The following is a 22315-nucleotide window of genomic DNA, read 5'->3' as shown; positions in this document are numbered from 1 at the left end:
CTCTTTGCTAAGTCGAGATTTTCCTATGTATTAGGGTGATTCTTCAAAATAAGAAAAAAACAGCAGTGAGAAATAAAGACTATTGCCTGTGTTTTCTATCATGTCAAAGCAGTGGCATTTTTCAGGCAAAATTAACAGAGCTTGGTGACTTGTTCAATGTAAGTGCAGCAGCAGTATTACTTTTAAGAAATATGGAACCTGATACCATAATAAATACAGTCAAAATGCGAAACCAAGGCTACTTCAGAAAACTTAAGATACATGATCATTTGTAAGTATGAAATTTAAAAAAAAAATCCAAAAAGAATGACAATCAAGAGATGCTGAGATACTTACATGTGCCACTGAAATAACTTTCCATAAGATAGAAAGGGTGTGTGTGTGTGTACGAATATTTGCTTACGTAAATGCATAAAGCAAACTGCATGGACACAAGAAACTGGTAACACTGGCTGACTCTGGGGATAAGAACTGTTTGGCTGGGGATGGAAGTGACTGAGAAAAAAGAGACTTCTTTGAATTTAAAACCATCTAAATGTATTCATAACTCAAAAATTCATTTTAAGTAGCCAGGATAGTTAATAAACAGGCAAAAGTCACAAAAAGAATTACTTAGGAATGTTTAATCTGGTTTCTTTTTCTTATTTTTCTTTTTTTTTTTTTTTTTGAGACAAGGTCTAGCTGTTGCCCCGGCTGGAGTGCACTGGAGTGATTAAGGCTCACTGCAGCTTTGACCTCCCAGGCTCAAGCAATCCTCCCACCTTAGCCTCCCAAGTAGCTGGGACTACAGGTGTGTGCTACCATACCCAGCTATTTTTTTTTTTTTCCTGTATTTTTTTGGTAGAGATTTCCCCATGTTGCCCAAGTTGGTCTCAAACTCCTGGGGCTCAAGAGATCTGCCCACCTCTGCCTCCCAAGGTGCTGGGATTTTTACAGGTGTGAGCCACCACAACCAACCTAATCTGGTTTTAAAAATAATAGAGAGATAGAAAAGACCAGATTCTTTCATGGGAAGGAGGAGGAGGTGGCAGAAGTCAAGCCATTTTCCGTTATGAGGTTGCAGAGGGCAGCTCTCACCCAAGGAGCGAGCATGCAGGAGAGCAGATGAGTCGTATTAAGGGAAAGGAACTGGCGGTCATTAACCCAGGTCAAACACGGGCAGGTGGCCTCCCAAGGCTGAGAGCTGGCCAGGTAGCACTGGGGAGGGACCAAAGACTCGTAGGCTGCCAGAAATGTGGGGCGTGGGAGGCGGTGGGGGGTAGGATAATGAACCAGATAGCCCCTGATGTTCCTTCCCAACTCAGGGACATTGTGATTTTAGAAGGCCTGCACACGAGGAGCCAAAAACTCAATCTAAGAAGAACTGCACAAGATCACACAACACTTGATGCATGCATGTAACTTCTCTAAGACAAAGCGCAGGAATAATTAAAATTCCCATCTATTTCATAGTGAAAAGCAGATTGTTCATAAACCAGAATGTTTTCTACTCATAACAGTTTCAAAATATCAGGGATGCAATAACCAATTGAAATGAAATTAAAGCATCTCTAGATAGCATTTGCGGAAGGGGGTATCCGAAGTCCCAAAACAATTTATGGTGGCTAACCCACTCTCCAAGAGATGTTTACAATTCCTTTTAGGAAGAACACCAACGCTTCTACTACGATGGGCTGGTCGCTGGACTAGTTTTAGGATATAAAAACAGGAAGAGAAGAACTACATAAGAAAGTAAAAGAGGTTCTGGTTCAAGGAGTGGCTAAGGACCAGCTTGAATCCTCCACAAAAGTGCACCCAAAACAGCACTGAGAAACCAAATCACCAGCTGGGAAGACAGAGGAGAGATAAACCTGGCCTGCAGTGGGGCTGCAAGTAGAATTCCACTGTCTCATTAGACATCGAGAAGTCAGGAAGCCCAGTGCCACCAACTTGGGAGAGCTGCAGGCTTCAACCACAGGACAGTAGATCCTGAGGGTGACAAGGAGAACAGTCCATGTGCAACTGATCATGTCTAGAGACTCCCAAAGCAACGCCGCAGTTCAAACCCATCCCTGATTCCTCACTTCCCTTCTGTCATCCCTGTGGCTGAAGGCCTGCAACTGACCACACGCCATGAATGATGCTCACCCTAATTTATCTACCAGGCACCTGCATACCTCAGACAAACCGTCGAGATTCCTGGCTGCACATTTAGGAGACAAACATGCCACCGGCCTCATCTTGGCCATAATCATGCTTTGAGAGCTTTACTTCCTTAAAGGGTGCAAATGTCCATTATGAGATTTAACTTTTCAGCTTAGCCTCATCACCCATCCATGCCACCTTACTGCAAAGAAATAACTCACATCAAAGACTCACTAGCAAGATAAACGACTAAAAAACGCCTTAGCTTACTGGATTTTCCCTGTGTTATGAATCATAAAATTTTTATAAAGCAAAATAGAAATTTGTGAAATTATTTTTTCCAGTTTCCTCATAAAATACCTAAGATCAAAGGATTTCATCTGAGTCTAACTTGGAGCGTTTTTTTTTTTTTTTAAACTTAAAACTATCAAAGTCAAATTGTCTCGCTTTTTTTTTTTTCAAAACACAAGATAGTCGCAATTACTATGTGGGTGGGTACTGCTTCAAAAGGCATGTATAACTAAGTCATATCAAAACTAAAATGACAAATGGGTTATTTTCAACAGAACACTTTGAAAGGAAAAAGAAAACAAACAAGAACTTTAGGATATTCTTTTTGAAGGCAACTGCATGATGCTAGATTGTGTCCATGGACTAGATTTCTAAAAGGCCATCTAAAATACATTTTTAAATACTTATTCCTTTCACAGGTAATATCTTACGAAGTTTGATTATTTTTGAATTGTCATAATATGGACTTAATATGGGAGGAAGGTAGTTCCAAAATGACAGAAGTAATCGCTTCCACATCACTTTTGTTTTTCTATTTACATATACAAACACATTTTTCTCTTGTCACAATAGTATCTGAAACATTAAGAGGTGCTCATAAATATTTGAGGAATAACTGGATTGTTTTTGCTACTTATTTATTTATTTAGAGACGAAGTCTCACTCTTGTCACTCAGGCTGGAGTGCAACGGCATGATCTTGGATCACTACAACCTCCGCCTCCCTGGGTTCAAGCGATTCTCGTGCCTCAGCCTCCCAAGTAGCTGGGATTACAGGCGCCTGCCATCACGTCTGGCTAATTTTTTGTATTTTTAGTAGAGATGGGGTTTTGCCATGTTGCCCAGGCTGGTCTCGAACTCCTGAGCTCAGGCAATCCACCCACCTTGGCCTCCCAAAGTGCTAGGAGTGTGGGTGTGAGCCATCACACCCAGCCAAATAACTGGATATTGTAAAACAGTTGAGCTTAACTACTCCTGCACTGGAAGCAACATCTGAGCTTCACTGGGTCCAAAGGGTGGTTTGAGCTCAGCAGGTATTGTCCTTGTCACCCTTCATGACAGCAGTCATTGTCACTAGTTTGGCCCCTTGGGTCCCAGTCTTCCTTTCTCACCCCACAGTTCTCTCTCTTTGAAATCGAATTTTACCCCAAAGAGGCAGAAGGTTCTATCTGGGCAGTACTCACTCTGCAGGATGCCTGAGCTCGGTTATCAGGGAATCCTGCAAAGCCAGGACTGCCTGGGCACAGTGTTCCTTTCAGGAAACTTTTCTTGGCCTTACAGACTTTTTAAACGCCCATGTCACATGTCCATTTCTCACATTATTTTTAAGGAGTTTCTGTTGAATATTTTATTCATTTTTTATCGATCAACCTCTACTCAGTGCTATTTCTTTCTGTAACTTGAAATTAATGTTTGACTTTAATGCCACACACTTGGTACTTGGTTTTTGTAACAATGTTTCACAAAGGTACTTGGTTTTAACAATATTTCGGGCCGGGTGCGGTGACTCACGCCTGTAATCCCAGCATTTTGGAGGCCAAGTAGGGCAGATCACAAGGTCAGGAGATAGAGACCATCCTGGCTAACATGGTGAAACCCCGTCTCTACTAAAAATTCCAGAAAAACTTGCCAGGCGTGGTGGCGGGCGCCTGTACTCCCAGCTACTCAGGAGGCTGAGTCAGGAGAACAGCGTGAACCCATGAGGCAGAGCTTGCAGTGAGCCGAGATTGCGCCACGGCACTCCAGCCTGGGGGACAGAGCGAGACTCCATCTCAAAAAAAAAAACGTTTCGCAAAGCTAACAGACTTGGTTTTCCTTTGACTCTTCAAACATGCTCCCTAAGAGACACAAAGCAGATCACCTGAAGTCAGGAGTTTGCGAGACCAGCCTGGCCAACATGGTGAAACCCCATATCTACTAAAAATAGAAAAATTAGCTGGGCCTGGTGGCTCATGCATGTAATCCCAGCTACTCGGGAGGCTGAGGCAGGAGAACCGCTGGAACCTGGGAGGCGGAGGTTGCAGTGAGCCAAGATTGTGCCACTGCACTCTAGCCTGGACCACAGGGCAAGACTCTGTCTTTAAAAAAAAAAAAAAAAAAAAAAGTCAATCTCTTCCCACTTCCAATTTAAATCTCTTCGACTACAGTCCCTCACATTTTGTATCCTTCCACAAAGCTTCTGCTGTACTGTAGGTCCCTCTACAACTGTGTGTTCTGTTTCCAAGAGTCATTTTTTTAAAAAAAAATTATCATCAAGTGAGAGGTTATGCAAAGACAGGAATCAATGATTCACCTACAGGACAACAGGACTCATGATAACCATTCCACAGGAAGTATGGGCGATGCAGCCTGAGGCCAGGTGTCTGAACATCAAAGCCAGGCTCTTCCCACAACCTAGAACCACTCATTTAGACTCTCCTTCCCCTAAAACCCTGAAGACACAGAAAAGGCATCAGCCACCCCATAGGTGGCTGTCAACCGTCACGGAATGTTGATGCCTGTCATGAGATTTCCCACACTGGACTTGCAGGTACTTGCAGGTACTAGGTACTTGCAGGTACCAGGTTCTCTGCAGGAGTCTATGCTGGAAGACGTGCCTAAGAAGCCACAGGACTGGCACAGGGCATCTTCCCAGAGTACCAATTTTTTGGAAGTCTTGGTAGGTAGAAGAGTGGTTCTCAAAGTACGGACTCCCGACTACCAGCATCAGCATCACCTGGCAACTTGGAAGAAATGGAGATTCCCAAGCCCCACTTCAGACTTCCAGAATCCGAATCTCCAGAACCAGAGTCCAGCAATCTATGTTTGTAAGCACCCAGATGATTCTGAAGCACAATAAAATTTAACAATGTTCTATTCAAACAAACAAGTATCACGGAATGAAAGATGCTATTTACATACATTTTTAAGATTTCACATTTGCAACTGGACTCCTCTGCAGGGATCCCCTCTTCCCCAAAGAAAACTTGGATGGAAATGTGTGAGAAGGGCAAACAAAATTTCCAAATGCAGATGATCCGTATCTGTAGATCTCCCAGATCTTTATCTCCACCCTAACCCCTTTCCTCCCCAGCTTGCAAGCTCTGAATATTTGACTCTCTCGGAGCCAGCAATGCTGGAAGAGCACCTGGAACTGTGCAGAAAACTGAACAGGTCCTGAGTGTTGCTCTCATGCCTCTTGTTCCCAAGCCTTGCTGTTTCAGTAACTCTGATCAAGAATCACCCCGTGAGAAGACACACACATATTAACAGAGGTGCTTCAGGGTTGCGACAGTACAGGGTGTTTTCATCTTGAGTACAATTGTCTATAATGACTGAGTTTTTTTTTTTAATTTTTCTGAAGAACATGAGTAATGCCTTCATAATAAGAAATTAAATTGTTTTCATAGGAGGTACAACCACTTTATCTCATCGAATTTTTAACCCAAACTCACTCACTGTGCCTTTCTATCCTATGGGATATATTATTTGATGCTCCATTTCATCACACATATATGAATAATACACTCATACTGCCCTACTACCTGCTGCAATAATCACATTCCCTTCCTGTCCTGACCCTGAAGCCATTGGGGTGGTCCTAGTGGCCATCAGTCCAGGCCTGCACCTTGAGCCCTTGAGCTCCATTGCTCACACCACCCCACCTCACCGACCCCATCCTCTTACACAGCTACCTCCTTGCTCTCTAACCCCATAGATTATTTCCAAATTCAGTCAATTAAGTTACTATTAACACTCTACCCGACATGTCCAGCACCACTGGTAAGCCTTCTCCAGCCAACACACACACACACACACACACACACACACACATATCCAGGCACAGCTACCTCATCTTCACAATCACCCCTTTAATTACCATGCTATGGTGGTATCCGTATTTTTATACTAGTTCTGGGCTCTCACTTTCATCTTTCTCAAGCTTTACTGAGCACCTACTAAACACCAGAAATTTACATTTTGGAATGAGAACAACTAACTCATCCAAGACCTACTGAAGCTCACCATAATGCAGGAAACATCCAAATATATGGAGATAAGAGTAATGATGTGCTAACACGCAACAGTGAAAAAAGGAAAATGGACCAACACTGAAGAGAAAGAAACAGAACAAAGAAAGGTAGAGGGAGTGGGCAGACAAGGCCGACCAGCCCCTTGGAGAGCCATTCTCAAATAGTTTCTTCCCATGCATGGTCCGTCTGTGGCAGAAGCAGCATGTTTCTTTCCCTTGACACCACTCCAGGATGCTGTACCAGACAGACCCGTCTATAGGCATATTGTGAAGAATCATTTTAAGTGAGCACCTGAGGAATGCATGTTTGGCAAAGGAAGGGCTCCAAAAAGTCAAGGCTGTTAATCACCAAAACCTAACACTCAGGAAAGTTATGAAATTCCCTGTAGAGGGCTTTTAAAAGTAGGTTAGATCCCAATCTCTGCCTGGTTGAGGTGTAGCCTAAACTCCCAACAGTGCCAAAGTTCAAAGTCCTTTTGGAGGTGGAGGAGTCAAGGACGTCCACCAATTTACCTGGGCCAGTGAGGCAAGATCACAGGAGAAGGGGGTCATGGTACGACCCGCCCCCACTGGACCAAGGCCCCCAGTATGGAAAACCCTTGGCTGGGTACCCGCCAACCACAGCCACCATGGCTAAGACAGCCAACAAGTGTGGGCCATGCTGGGACTGACCACTACAGCTCACAAAGGGGTCAGTCACCTGATGGAATGCATAGCACCTCCTAAGAAAAAGTCATTCCTAGTCCTCCCTGCTACTTCTCTGCAAATAAATATTCAAAGCTAGATCTATCTAACATCTAAAAAACATTCTGTCAGTCCAAATCAGAGTGCTTTTAACTGTCTCCTTTTAAGCACAGGAAACAAAAGTTTCAAACCAGAAGTTTAAAATTTATCAAAAAACGGCCGGGTGCAGTGGCTCACGCCTGTAATCCCAGCACTTTGGGAGGCCAAGGCAGGCGGATCACCTGAGGTCGGGAGCTCGAGACCAGCCTGACCAACATGGAGAAACCCTGTAACTACTAAAATTAGTCAGGTGTGGTGGCGCATGCCTGTAGTCCCAGCTACTCAGGAGGCTGAGGCAGGAGAATTGCTTGAACCCAGGAGGCGGAGGTTGCAGTGGGCCGAGATTATGCCATTGCACTCCAGCCTAGGCAACAAGAGTGAAACTCCGTCTCAAAACAATAACAACAACATTTAATAAAAACAGGATTGATGGCTCGGCCAGCAAGAGAGATAGGAGGTAAATGATGCATTGATTTAGAACTGAAAGACATCGTCCCTTCCCAGGATACAGAATGCCATTTTATTTGGTTAATTACATTGAAATCTTCATCAAATTCTCTTAACAGGCAAACAAAAAATATTCTAAAACCTAAGAGAAAATCCATAATTCTTCCAAAAATAACCTAAGAGTTCTACTCAGTATTCAATATCAGAGAAAGCCTTACTCAGGCAATTACACAGAAATAAATTACCATCCACAGCAGAGTGTCATTTCTCACTATATAGTGTAAGAGAAATATTCACAGATACCCATTTTTTCCCTCAATAAGAAAAATTCACAACTGTCACGGTGTTCCTACATTTTCAATCCATTCATTTTCTTAATTTGTTTCCCAAAGCTGTATCTCCACTTAGGAAAACCAATCAGGCCTGGTTAGACTTGTTCCTAAATAAACCCTGAGGTTTGAACAAAATCCTTCAAGAAAGAAGTAATCAGGTCAATTATGTTAAAGATGAATTAACAGCTCCAGCATCTTGAGGTCATATAACACAATCATGACTATGGGTGGATGTGGAGAGCTTCAGAATGCCACAGGAAGGTAAAACCTCCTCCCCCACCAAGCAAAGTCTTACCGAGTGTTACCTGCTCAAATGCGAGACGTCTCATTTAGGAGAATACAATATTAAAGGTTTAGTGCATTAAAGGAAAGCTGGAAAACTCAAGGGCAGAGCAAGTTCTGAAGAGTATGCGGAAGTCGTGGCTGCAGCCAAGGGTAACTTTCCACTGCCGGGTGACAAGGTCACAGGAGAGAAGTTTTAACTTGACTCCCAGGAAAGCAGTCTACACGGTTGTTCCTCTCTGGAAATGGCTTCCTCTGTGACTGGCTCACATCAAATCACAGGTGTCTTATGAACCTGCCACCTGGACACCAAGGTCCAGCCTCTCCCAGGACTGCCAAGTTACCTCTTCAGGAAATGCAATGAAATCTGACCCAGATAACGCCACATAAGATAACATCAGGTGTCCAGGGCCCTCCACCTTCAGTAAATGTTCAGAAGTACACTCTGTTTTAAAGGAACCCTTGTATATTTCATGTTTTCCCCACGCAAAAGCTTCCTCTCTGCCACTTTCAGTTTACGTAATCAGACAGCTGGCTGTGAGCATCTCCAAAACCCAGGATTTGCATTGTTTCAACCAAGACAAAAATATTAGGCTCCTCATAGGTCTGGAGGCACCAGTAGTGTATCATTCAGCCAAGTGACACTGAGATTCTTACCAACTGCTTAGAGCAAATAAGGAAATCATAAAGTATCAAATATACAGATTCACTTTTCTTCTAAGAAAAGATTCTTGAACCCACCACATATTGGTCTATTCTTCCATAAAGCTTAATATGACATTGGTGTTATGGGTAGAAGTGTGTCTCCCTCCAAAACTTCCATGTTGAGGCTCTAGCCCCTGGAATGTGACTGTATTTGGAGACAGAAACTTGAAAGAGGTTATTAAGGTAAAATGAGGTCACACGGGTGGGCCCTAATCCAATATGACCGGCATCCTTCTAAGAAGAGGAAATTTGGACACACAGAGAGACACTGGGGCTTCGGATGTATGCAGGGCAAAGGCCATGTGAGGGCACAGCAAGGGGCCACCTGCAAGCCAAGAACAGAGGCCTCGGGAGAAACAATCCACTGGTCTCCTGATCTTGGCTTCTGGCCTTCAGAACTGTGCGGGATCATGGCCAGGCGAAGTGGCTCACGTCTGTAATCCCAGCACTTTGGGAGGCTGAGGCAGGCAGATAACTTGAGGTCAGGAGTTCGAGACCGGCCTGACCAACATGGTGAAACCCCATCTCTACTAAAAAATATAAAAAGTAGCCAGACACAGTGCATGTGCCTGTAGTCCCAGCTACTCGGGAGGCTGAGGCAGGAGAACTGCTCAAACCTGGGAAACAGAGGTTGCAGTGAGCCAAGATCACACCACTGCATTCCTGCCTGGGAGACAGAGCAAGACTCCATCTCAAAAAGAAAAAAAAAAAAAAGAACAGTGTGGAATCAATTTCTGTTGTTGAAGTCACCAATTGGGTATTTTGTTATGGCAGCTCTAGCAGGACTAGTAGAATTGGAAAGAAAATATTTCAGTGACCAAAAAAAAAAGGGGGGGAGAGAGGGGTGGACTCCTTGAGTCCTGTGTCCTTCCCCTGGGCACATGGCCTGACCAGCAACCCCATTCCGAGCCCAGCCCCTTCTGCATTGCATTGCAGAGCCAGAGCACAGAAACCAAGCCCTGTGGACAGAGCAGTCACTGGGGCTTTGGGGGACAGTAAGGTGCCCTGGAAGAATGGATGAGATTTGCTGGCAGAGAAGAAAAGGCATAGTAAAGAGAGGTCACAGGCATGAAAAGGGCATTCAAAGCCCCAAAAGAAAACAGAATGAGACAACTGAACAAAAGACAACAGGAATCAACCTCAAAATATAGAATCGGCAAATACACACATACGATATGAGGCCGTCTCCCTCCTCACCATATGCAAACTGAACTCGCGTGTACTTCGATGCCTCTTATATTAGCAGAGATTAAAATTTTAACATTAGCTGATGTTTATGCAAAACTGAGCACATTTAGAGCAGTGGTATTAACAGCCGTCCTGACAATGTACAGAAAGGGACAGTGAAGCTTTGGAAAGAGAACAAGTATCTTCTCCAAGCTCAGGCAGCTCTAAGCAGCAGAGGCTAGACAAAATACAGGACACTGTGTTCCAATAACATAGCTTCTCAATTCGGGGAGGGGGTGATTCTGCCCCCCAAATGTGGCAACGTGGAGAGTTTTTTTTAATATTACACCAGGGAAAGTGCCCCCCAGCATCTAGAAGGCAGAGGCCAGGGGTGCAGGGAACATCCCATGGGGCACAGGACAGCCCCCACAACAAAGAATGACCCAAGGCACATAGTTACCAGTGCCGCCTGCATTGGGAAACCCTGTTCCAGAGCCAACACCAGCTCAACCGCACTCTCACAGCCTTTCTCTAATTTTGAAATAATTTTAGTTTCAAAATAAAAATTTACCAATGCACACACAGACACACAAAGCTATGAACCACCCTGCTACATATTCTATTTGTAATCCAGAGAAATCTGCCATCATCAGGCCTCCCACCCCAGCCTGAGAACGCATCCTGGGCCCGACACCTTTACATGAGCTCTGCTCGGAGTCCTGAGGCCAGCTCATCCCACCCTTACCCACGTGTCCTTCTCGTCAGTTCTCTGCCCACCTCTGCTCTGCACATCCCCTCAGCACCAGCAACGTAATTTCCAGGCCCAGCGCAAAATGAAAACATGGATCCCTTGTTCAAAAACTATCAAGAATTTCAAGATGGCAAGAAAAGAGCATTAAATCAAACACAGGGCCCTTCTGAGTGTGGAGCAAGGGACCACACCGCAGGCTCAGGAAGCTGACCTTGAGCAGCTCTGCACCCTTCCACATCCTCACCCTGCCTGCCTCCCTAGCCACTGCACCAAGTCTTCATTCTTCTCCAAATTGCTCCCACCATTCCTTGTCACACTGAAGCTTGGCTCTGCACACAGCACAGCTTCCAGGAGGCTACAGGTTCTCCGGCACTTTTTAGGGCCAGGGCTGAACCCTACTCTGGGACTTTCCACCTCAGCCTCCATGTCATGAAGAGTCCTCCTTATTATCTATAGGCCACTTGGCTGGTCGCTGGACACCCTAGTAACCATCCCCTCTTTAAAGATGGCATGGAACCTGGGTTGCCATCTTCCTCCCCGGCCCAAATCCTGCATCATCCTGGATCACCGTGGTCCACACCCACATAGCACCCTCAATCCACAAATGACTCCCTGAGCCCCAGACACATCTGCCTATGTTGTGCTCACACCCAGAGCCATGCTGGACTGGGCCACCACGCACCACCTCATCTCTAGAAACCTCAACTCCAGAGCTCCTTTTCTGCGTCTAGGTCTCTCCCGCCCACCTTCCTGAGGATCAGCACATCAAATGGCTAATAATCTCTAGGGCTAGCTGAACATCTACCAGAACCCAGCACTGATTCAATACGTCTATGCATCCTCTCTTTAATCCTCGCAATGACTCTGTGAGATGGGCACTACTATTAATACTTTTAATCCCATTTTTCAGGGAGAAAAATGATTCTGAGGGAGACTGAGAAAATGCATCCAGGTGAACAAGCCAGTATGTGGCCCCAAGGTCTTGTTCATGAAGCAGAACTGTTTCCATATGACTGTGAAAAACATCCTCAAGCTCACTAATAAATGCCAATTTTAAAAAAATGTACATTTTTCAATCACCTGACTGACAAAGAGTAAAAAGAATAACAAGACCCAGAACTGGTGAAAATGTGAGGGACAGGTGGTCTGAGAGAAGGAGGACTGGAAATTGATGTATTTCTAGAGCACAATTAGGCAAAATATACAAAGAGCCTTAAGTAGAGGAGACTTTGCTGCAAGTAATCCACTTCTAAAAACCCACAGAAAGACTCAGACAAGCAGGCAACGATGTATTTACAGGAGTATTCATCAAAGGAGAAAAAAAAAAAACCCAATTCCTTAAACATCCATAGGTTTGATAAAATTGGCTAGAGTAGTAATTACCCTTATTATCACTATCACTGGATACTGTCAATCAGCTAGGGTAAAGTACTAATACTTTGACATTATCTCATTCAATCCTCACAATTTGGTGTATTTTACAAAAGAGGAAAACGTTGCCTACTCCAGAATCTGTTTCATTGAGAAAAATTATGTGGAGCTGTATCTATCAAGCAAGGAAGATACCCACGGTATATTATTCACAGTAAAATACAGGGTTACATTAGAGCAGAGTAGAATTTGATTCCAGATTTGATTCTTCAGACTGTCACGTAGTCTGGTTATTTACTATCTTCTTAGCTGCAAATCCACCCTTCCCTTGTCTGTCCCTTGGCACTTGGACCCCCACAAATGAAACTTCCCCGACTCCCTTTCCAGTTGGCTTCCAGCTGGGGCCTGATGAGAGGGGGCCCTGGTAGGAGAGCCTCAGGGGGAGGGGAAGCACCGTCCCAGCATCGGCAGTGGGGTCCGATGTCGTCCCACTGCAGAGGTAGTATCAGCAGTGGAGGGCATCCTCTTGGCTCCTGGGCTCAGGTCACCTGGCCCAGTGGTGGTGCCTGCTTCCTGCAGAGCTTGTCTCTGGGCTCTCTCAGGGTCGCCCCAACTTGTTCTTTCATCCTCCACACCTGTGGAGCAACTCCTCGCATGAGGTCCCTCTGTTGGGCCCTGACTGGTACCACATGCACATGTATTAATATTTACTCAGCACCCAACTGCTGAGCAGTTATGCTGTACCAGGGACTCTGCCAGGTGCTGTGGACATAGCAGTAGCAAGGCACACCTGCCCCTGAGTCTGTCCACCTGCATTAAATGGTGTGTAGACACACTAAAACATGAACTGTGCGGTACACGCGAGGGAGACTGTGGGTAATTTTTATTTTGTTCCTTATCTTCATCTATGGTTTCAGGTTTGTTTGTTTTTTTTTTCCAGGACTGACTTTCATAATCAGAACATTTAGTATTTTAAAATACAGTAGACAAAATGTCCTACTCTCTGAACTCTACAATGCTTCAAAGAGGTAAGATCCCCTTAAGGCTACGACATAGTGTGGATGTTTGTCCCCGAAATCTCATGTTGACAATAATCCCCGGTGTTGGAGGTGGGGCTTGGTGGGAAGTGTTTGGGTCATGGGGGTGGATCCCTCATGGCTTGGTGCTGTTCTGGCAATGGTGAGTTCTCATGAGATCTGGTTGTTTAAAAGTGTGTGACCCAACCCCTTGCTCCTGCTCTGGCCACGTGAGATGCCTGCTCCCCCTTCATCTTCCACCATGATTAGAAGCTTCCTGAGGCCTCCCCAGTAGCCGAGCAGATGTCAGCATCATGCATCCTGTATCATCCAGTACAGCGTGCAGAGCCAAGAACCAATTAAACTTCTTTTCTTTATAAATTACCTAGTCTCAGGTGTTTCTTTATACCAATGCAAGAATGGCCTAATGGACTAAATTGGACTTTTTTTTTTTTTTAATGCTGCTCTCAATATATAACCAGAGTCATGAAGTAATGTGTGTGGCAGAATGTTTTCTGTCTTGGCCAAAGAAAACAAAAACAAGAGATCTAAGCTACTATTACAACAACAAAAATACTAACTGAACCACCTGCTGTTTCTATCAAAACAGAAACCTATGACTTAATAATACCTAAAGGAATATTCTGGATACCTCATATCAGGCCACAGGGAAAATGCCCATTTCTATATAATATGAACATTCTCTTTCCTAGATGTGAGACAACCTAGCACGTAGCTGTAAAACCCTATTGCTGGCCCTCGGTCCCTCTCTTCTCCCTTCCTTCGACAGCTGTGGGCTGTCACACCACCGGCCGCTGTGTCTTCTTCACAGGGACCACCCGCAGGAAGGATTAATTCTGCTTCCTGATGGGTTTCTTGCACCATCCCATCCACGGCCTCTCTGGGGACATGGACGAAGAACACGGGACGGGCACAGGTCATGTGTTTATGCTTCTGGAACATAAACATCCTGCTGCGCTCTCCCTCTGTGAGCTTGCTTTCTTATCTTTAAATAGCACTGCATCATTACTGGCACTGGGTTTGCAACACAGCATAACACGGAGAGCTTTATAGCTTGTCCCAGAGCCTGCGGGCATTTCGGCAGATAAGGGAGAAATGCAGAAATAAACTAAATGGCCCCCTTTCAAAGATACTTATGAGAATCACAGAAATGTCTAGGAATACTACAGACACTGCAGCTGATACAACTCAACATTTTTGACAGAATAGGCAGCTGAGCTCTGTCTAATGAGGTGGATTCCAATGTCATGCTGTGAGATCGAGGGTGCAGGGTTACTTATCAGCTGTGTGTACCTGGGCACATTATTAAGCCTCAGTTTCCCTACCAGTGAACGCCAGTGAACAGGGATATGATGTGCATTCCCCTTGTTGTCTATCTTGAAGTGATGCCAGTGATGCAAGGGGGCTCAAGTGATGCATATAAACTAGCTACGCCAGTACCTGGCACTAAAGGATATTAATATGTACCATTTCCCTCCAAGTCAGGACTTGGGGCCAGCTCTCCTGACCTGCAGCAGGCACCTGTCTGCTCCGCATGCTGCCTCTTCCCCACAGGTGGGACAGGTTCAACACTGATCCAATCATGCAGGCTGGACCCCCTCTCCCTCCCTCCATTGCTAAGGACCCTGCCAGCGTCCAGATACTGATGACCTGGTAAACAACAAACATCTGAGATAAAGACCCTTAATATTAATATTTAAAAATCTGAAAAAAAAATGATAAAAGGTGAGGTCTATACACTGCAATTTTTAAGCTGCTTTTGTTACAGCACAGGAGATAGGAAACAAAATTCTCATTTCCAGAGTCTTCACAGTCTGGGCCTGAATGCTCATTAAATATGTGGCATTAAAATGGTAAATAGAGAGATCTCCTGAACACATACAGGTCATTCAGCCAGTAATGAGAAATATATTAAACACAGTTGTTTCTACAAAACAGAGTGCAAGGTAAGATTCCCAAAACTTCTTTTATCTAGCTTAAGTAGAAAGCTATCCTCAGCAATCCTCTGAGGTCTGGAACATGTTTGACCCTATTTGCCAGGCTATGAAATGTCAGAGGACCTCTGTCAATATCAGTTCCCCCAACACCCCCATAGGAAGATACAAGACATTCCTTCTGAAAGCTGAAGAAAATTACATAGGTTTTTATAAATCAGGATCAGAACTTAAAAGTGGAAGGTTAAAATTCAATTAGAAATTTTGGGGCTGGGCGCGGTGTGGTTCACGCCTGTAATCCCAGCACTTTGGGAGGTCGAGGCAGGTGGATCACGATGTCAAAAGATCGAGACCGTACGGGCTAACACAGTGAAATCCCGTCTCTACAAAAAATAAAAAAAAAATTAGCCGGGCGTGGTGGCGGGTGCCTGTAGTCCCAGCTACTCGGGAGGCTGAGGCAGGAGAATGGCGTGAACCCAGGAGGTGGAGCTTGCAGTGACCCCAGATCACGCCACTGCACTCCAGCCTGGGTGACAGAGCGAGACTCTGTCTCAAAAAAAAAAAAAAAAAAAAAAAAGAAAGAAATTTTGGAAGGCAGTGGGGTCGGGGGGGTGGGGTAGACAAAACCCACAGTGCCTGCTCCTTTACATTTCTCTGAAGTTTGCCATGACCCTAAGCTCCTACTTGGCTTTCACAAAACAGCGTTGTTTTCACAGCTCCTGTGAGTTTCGTCAGACAGTAGCTGGGAATGCAAGAGCTGAGCCAGGCTTATGAACCACAGGCATGGATTCTAAGATTATTTCCCATTTTTAACTTGAAATGTAGAAATTGGAGACAGGCAAGGTATACTTTTCAAATATTCCTTTTAGCTACATTCAATGTAAATGAGACGCATGCACATATATAATACATGCATTCTTAACACTAGTCACATAACATATACGTACATGAAAATATTCATGACACTAGAGGGAAAAACAGAACTTCTTCATATGAATGATGAATTCCTGATTGTTTGTACACAATCCTGTACACAATCAGGAATTCAAGGCCTGCTTTCAGAATAGGAGTAGGAACGACTAGACCAGAGTAAACCATCAACACATAAAGTTTTTTTAAAAAAAACAAAAAAAACCCAAAAATTGTCTTTCAAAGGAATCAACATTTTGCCTTATTTCCATCCCAGCCCTGGTGATTAAAGGAATTTTGTTTGATTTTATTCTGTAACTCAAAATGACTTTTTTTAAATGTCATCCTAACAAACCATATGTGCCTGTCTGCAGTAACACTGTAGCAAGAGTTCATATTTTCTCTAATCTGAATAACTTATATTGTGTTACCCCATAGTTGCCTTGTGTAGGGACAATAAAAGGTGCTTTATCTACCACATCCCCCGCCAGGTAATGACCTCCAACACCAGTAAGGAGGGAGCTCTCCAACCCTGCTGATGGTTAACACGAACCAGGGCAGCCACCCCGTGCTGGGTGCCCATGGCGTGGCCAGCCCAGTGGAGCCACATCAGGAAGGTGTTATTAATATTATCCTCCCCTCCACCTGAGGACACTAAAACTCAGAGAAGAGAAACAGGCCTGGCGCTGGCTTCTGACTGGAGAGCTGGGTCTCAAACCCACGTCTGTCAACTCACAAAACCCCACCATCCCCCATCACTCTTATCAGAACCATATTATTGACAACGTGATAGTTATCGGAGCATAATGAAATCCTCAATGCTTCCCTCTAAGGCCTCTGATAATCTCAGAAAAATGAGCAACAACTCGGAGCAAATGCCACAAGGCCACTCCACTGGCTTTACCTCCAGCAGAGCCATAAGAGTGGCCAAGGCCGACACAAAGGTTTAATTCAGCAGCAGAACTCTGCCACCAACAGGACAGATGACACCAGAAAGGCACTCCTCCTCTGAGAGAAACACTGCAAATACACCACGTTATGGAAAGGAATCCTCCACTCAGAAATGGACAAAAGAATCCACTCATTACTATAAAGGAAGCAACCTGATTGGCATTTTCACAGCAGGCAGCACCAGTCTACATTTTTATAAAATGACAAGGGGACACACTATGTATTTCCTCGTGCTGGTGGCCCTTTGTGGGGCAAACAGAGGGCTAATCCTCCACTCAGAAATGGACAAAAGAATCCACTGATTACTATGAAGGAAGCAACCTGACTGGCATTTTCACAGCAGGCAGCACCAGTCTACATTTTTATAAAATGACAAGGGAACACATTATGTATTTCCTTGTGCTAGTGGCCCTTTGTGGGACAAACAGAGGGCTTCTATAAAGCTTAGGAAGTATGATTTTAATCACCGGGCAAATTCATAGGTGGAGGCTTGAGCATTTCCTTTATCTCTGTACCAGAATTTCCCAGGTATACACTCCCCAGCATGTCATCAGCCCAGCAGCTGCAAGACTGCACGCTCTGTCCTTAGCTAGATCGGGGCCCTCTGGGACTAGGTATAGGTATGTCATTGCTCCAGTCCCCTTCTGGATGTTCCAAATCTAGTCCAGGCCACAACACCTCTCCCCTGGATTCCCTGGGAAGCCCCCTAAATTTGGGTCCCTGCCTCTATTCTTGACCCTTCCAGTACAATGAGCACTGAACCAATGTCCATCAGCAATGCAAGCAAAATATAAATCTGATCAGGTCACATCCCTGCTTGAAATGCTAAGTCTAGGAGCCTTAACATAACCTACAAAGCCTCCATCTCACCTGCCTGACTCATCATCCTCGCCTCTCTCCACTCCTGCCTGCCCCCACCTGCTCAGCTGTAGCCACCCTCCCCTTTTAGGGGGTTCTACGGTGGTTTCCTGAGCTTCCTCCCTTTGGGAGGTTAGCAAAGATGAACACAGCTGATTCGAAGTCAGGCTCCTCAGGCACAGCTGCCTCTGCTCGGCCAGATTTCTATGGCTCTACCAGAATGAAGAGTGACTTTTGCTGTAATCATGTAACACAGACAAAAGACATCCTCCACCCTTCTTCTGTCCCTAACTACCAACACTGGAGTTAGGGGATTGTCAATTTTTACTTTGCTTTTTTCTGTATTTTGTTTGGTTATTTTTAACAAACACGCATTATTTTAAATATATTTTTCTGATTACAGAGTTGATAGAATGTTGATAGGATTATCAACATTCCTAATAATCCTAAAGTTGATAGGATTATCTTGATTGTATCAGCCCAATTTTTTTCCCTGCCAGCAAAACAGAGTTTTGGTTCATTAAGTATTACGTCTCCCAAAATATGTAACTGAGGGTACTGACAGAAATGTATCTGAGGGTCTCCTGTATGGGGCGGGGGTCGGGGGAGGGGTTGGGAGGGAAGAGACAGATAATAAGGAATCCTATTGTGGCCAAATTATCCTCTCCTCCCAAGTCCAGCCCTAGACTATGCATGCAGTCAAAGACTACAGAAAACAATCTCTCAGTTTTCTAACAGAATAACACAAGTTTAATCTGTATTGTTAAATGGCCAAGTATATTAAGTGATCAAAAATAAGTACAAGCATTTTCGTTTGAAGGATTATATCAGGTAAAATAAAGGCAAGGCACTGAGGACCCAGAATGTCCAGGCATGGGCCTTAGGCTGGATGATTCATCCAGGGTGGCTGAAATGAGCCAGCGTGGTCCCGGCAGGGCTCCAGGCATCCTGGTGATTGCCAGCCACACAGTGCCTAACCCTGTCAGGGACTGAATGTTTGCGTCCCCCTAAAATTCATGTGTTGAAATCCTAATCCCCAAGATGGCGGTATTGGAAGGTGGAGCCTTTACGAGGTGATCAGGTCATGAGGATGGCGCCCTTGTGAATGAAATTAGTACTCTTATAAAAGGCACAACAGAGCTTGCTTTCTCTCTCTCTCATCATGTAAGGATATAACAAGGTGACGGCCATCTGCAGACCAGGAAGCAGGTCCCCACCAGACCAGATATGCCAGTACTTTGATCATGGACTTCCCAGCCTCCAAAACTGTGAGCATTAAGTGTTTTTTGTTTAAGCCACCCAGCCTATGGTACTCTGTCACAGCACATGGAACTGACTAGGACACTGTCCCTCAGCCAAGGAGGGAAGAGGGACAGGTGAAGATGCTTACTTCCCACATTACTTCGTAATGTATCCAAAAACTAACTAAAATGGCTTGTCTTTCAGGCCATACCTGATCAAAGCATCAGGGATGCACCTGTGCACATGCTTCATGAGGAAAGAGGAGGAGGGGAGGAAAGAGGAGGAGGGGAGGGAAGAGGAGGAGGGGAGGGAAGAGGAGGAGGGGAGGGAAGAAGGAAAGAAGGAAGTCACCCAGCAATGCCTCAGCATCACTCAAAGTGGTCATCTAGCCCAGTGCCTTTCAAAGTGCAAATCATACAACCCATGGGTATGAAATCCATTTAGTGAATCCTATTTATTTAATGAAATAAAAATAGGTTAGAAGAAAGTAGCACCACTCAACCAGAAAATATCAGAAACCCAGAAAAAGAGAGGAGCCATCAAAGAGAAACCCTAACGTCCAAGAGAGGTGAAGGAAGTCTTCAGTGGGGCGGCAGGAGAGCATGGGCTGGGTGATGGCAGACCCGGGGCCCTGCCCAGGTCAGACCACCTGGACGGCTCTGGGCCAGACTTCCTCAGGAACATGGATAGGCCTTATACCTAATGGGTCTGAGCACACTGAAAAGAGGCTGACACAACTGGGGACGAGCTGGGGAATCTTTACAAATAAAATACAAGGAAGAAAAAGACAAAGCTGGGCAGGAAAAGTAATGGTGGTATATAAACCACCCAGCTTACGTGTCAAGAGTGTTTACAGAGTATCAGAGGTCAACACGGAAAACGGAGCTGACCAACAGTATGAGAGACCTGTATTTGATGTGGTAGCGACAGGGTATGTGGTTGGAAAAAAAAACAAATCCTTAACTTCTAAAATGGAAATCAAGTTTGAAAATTCAAGCAGCTGCACCACAATCATGTTTTGGAGACTGGAGGATACGAGTTGGAAGAATCAGTCAAAAGAGGTGGAAGCGGCTGCCTCCAAAGGACAGGCAGTGAATACACACTCTGGGCTCGGCGACTTTTCCTCCCTGTTATCCTCTCAAACACAAGCTTCTCTTCCTCATCCTTATGGCCTTTCCCAGCTAATAAACCCACTCCCCACTGGTGCTGGTCCTCACACCCACCTCGACCTCACAGAGCTGAGCCCTCACTCCCCTTCTCCACTGCCCTCCAGAAACTTCCTGTTCTTGGAAGAGATTCTGGACTTACGAGTGGTGCCCATGAGGCCCTGCTGAAAAACACACAGAACTCATTTCTATTGTCTTTTTAGATGGGTTGGGCCTTACAATATGGTTTTTGTCTGATTTCCTCTAAGAATAAATGAATCCACATAAATCACACAGGATGCATTTCTCTCACAAGATAACCAGAACACAACTTCCAGCCTAGAGGAAACCCTGCGCCCATCATGGTGGAGCTTCTATGGTAGCCAAGTTGTGCTCTCTGCTCTTTGAAAGTCACTAAATATTGCTCAATCATTTAAAATGACTGCTTTTGCCAGACTGCGTATCGTATTACCCTTGGATTCAAGATACACATACAATGGCAGGGACCAAAAGTTTAAGATAATGTCTACAGGAGAAATTCTTTAAATGCTTTTTTAAAAAATGTATCTATTCCTTGATTTTCCTTTCCTGGAATTAGGAAAACCAGACTATTATTCCATTTTAGTGGCAAAACCTGTCCAGTCAGTGTATACAACACTGGTTGGGCCACTTGTGGAATGACATGTTCAGTTCTGGATTGTACCTTTTAAAGGAATCGATGAAACAAAAAAAGAGTACCCAAAAGAAAGTTCCAGAACAGTGCTGGGTCTGAACCAGCAACTCCTCTCAATCCCAAGATCTCAGTGCCTGACTTGCTCGGCTTTTCTGGGTCCTTCTGGAATGTTGCTTCACTTTTCTTTGACCTTAAACCTGTTAAGTTTTACTTAAATCTGTCCTAATCCATCAACCTCTCACTACTTGGAACTGTACTGAGGTCCTTCTTTTGTGAATATCCACTGTAGTCACAGTCAGTAGCTCCTGGGTTCCTCCCTTTCATCAGCATCAGGTTCCCCGCATATCAAACAAAATGAAAATCGCTGGAAGACACTGACTGCAACCTCTGTGTTACTCTTGCTCTACTCCAAACCCAACACTGGGGAGAGAAGGCACTTTGAAAACAAAACAAGTGTTTGTGTCAGTCCCCAAGCAAGCAGACAATTTGTAATTAAAAACACTTTATCAGTAGCTAAATCAAATAGATGATCTCAACTCAGTGGCAGGATGCGGAGCAGGGTTCTTACTTGAAACTCCACTTTCTCGGCTCAGGGTGAACAATCTTCCCTGATGTACTTTCTTTGCCAACTGATTAAGTGAAGGAAATGGCTTCCCACAGAGAGCCAAAATTGTTATTAACATCCACAATAATAACACATGAAACACCCTCAGCATGTGAGTTGTTATCTTAATTATTTTCTTGCTTTACCTCTAAGCCACAAAAAGTTTCAAGCTGAGTTTACATTTATAATCTTCTTAATCCTTAGTAGATGCAGTAATTGACCACTGGGTTTGCCAGCAGAACCACCTGTATTTAGCCACAAGGGGGAGCAAGCGTTCAGCTTCCTGGCCAACCACACAAGGGGTATGGCCATCAATGAGCAAAACAAAACCCAACGTCTTCTTCAAGAAACACGGGCCAAGACTGTCTCAATAACCTGGGCTCTCCCTGCAGGAGACACACTTCCATTCTTTCCATACCCAGTCTAGCTGTGACTTTCCTCCCATGACAAGTGTGGCCCAAAGACAAAACGATCCCACAAATCAAGGGATGAAGAATATTCCAGTCCACGTACCAGGAATACCAATGAAGAAAACTTTGCAAATGTGTTAATTCTACAAGAAAAGCCAAGAACCAGTGGGAATTTACTAGAAAGAAGTCGGCTGTGGCCAAGTATGCCAAAGGTTAGTTTCTGCAGACTGCTTGAGATCACAACTCGGAACTTCAGTCTGCACTCACATAGCTTGTAGAGAAGAAGAA

The 22315-nt window shown here is 44.6% G+C and overlaps 1 protein-coding gene across 32 annotated transcripts in view; it reads right to left on the bottom strand.

Moving 5' to 3' along the window:
* The window catches only part of NEDD4L (NEDD4 like E3 ubiquitin protein ligase), a 357315-nt gene that overhangs the window by 243688 nt on the left and 91312 nt on the right, over positions 1-22315 (bottom strand). For 4 of the 32 annotated variants that reach the window (XM_024451134.2, XM_047437414.1, NM_001144971.2 and 1 more), the window contains exon 1: positions 8284-8533. The exons of 25 other annotated variants lie outside the window; for them this stretch is intronic. Coding sequence is in view for 3 of the 7 variants with exons in the window: in XM_011525887.4 (XP_011524189.1) it covers positions 8294-8317 (24 nt within the window). In the remaining 4 variants the exon portion in view is untranslated. Of the gene's footprint in view, positions 1-8283; positions 8534-22315 lie in introns of those variants that run through there. 3 more of the 32 variants (XM_011525887.4, NM_001144968.2, NM_001144969.2) reach the window with 1 other exon arrangement.

Source organism: Homo sapiens, chromosome 18 (genome assembly GCF_000001405.40).
Source record: "Homo sapiens chromosome 18, GRCh38.p14 Primary Assembly".
Classification (NCBI taxonomy): domain Eukaryota; kingdom Metazoa; phylum Chordata; class Mammalia; order Primates; family Hominidae; genus Homo; species Homo sapiens.
Note: the sequence above shows the minus strand (reverse complement) of the source record. Positions and strands in the feature narration are given on the sequence as shown.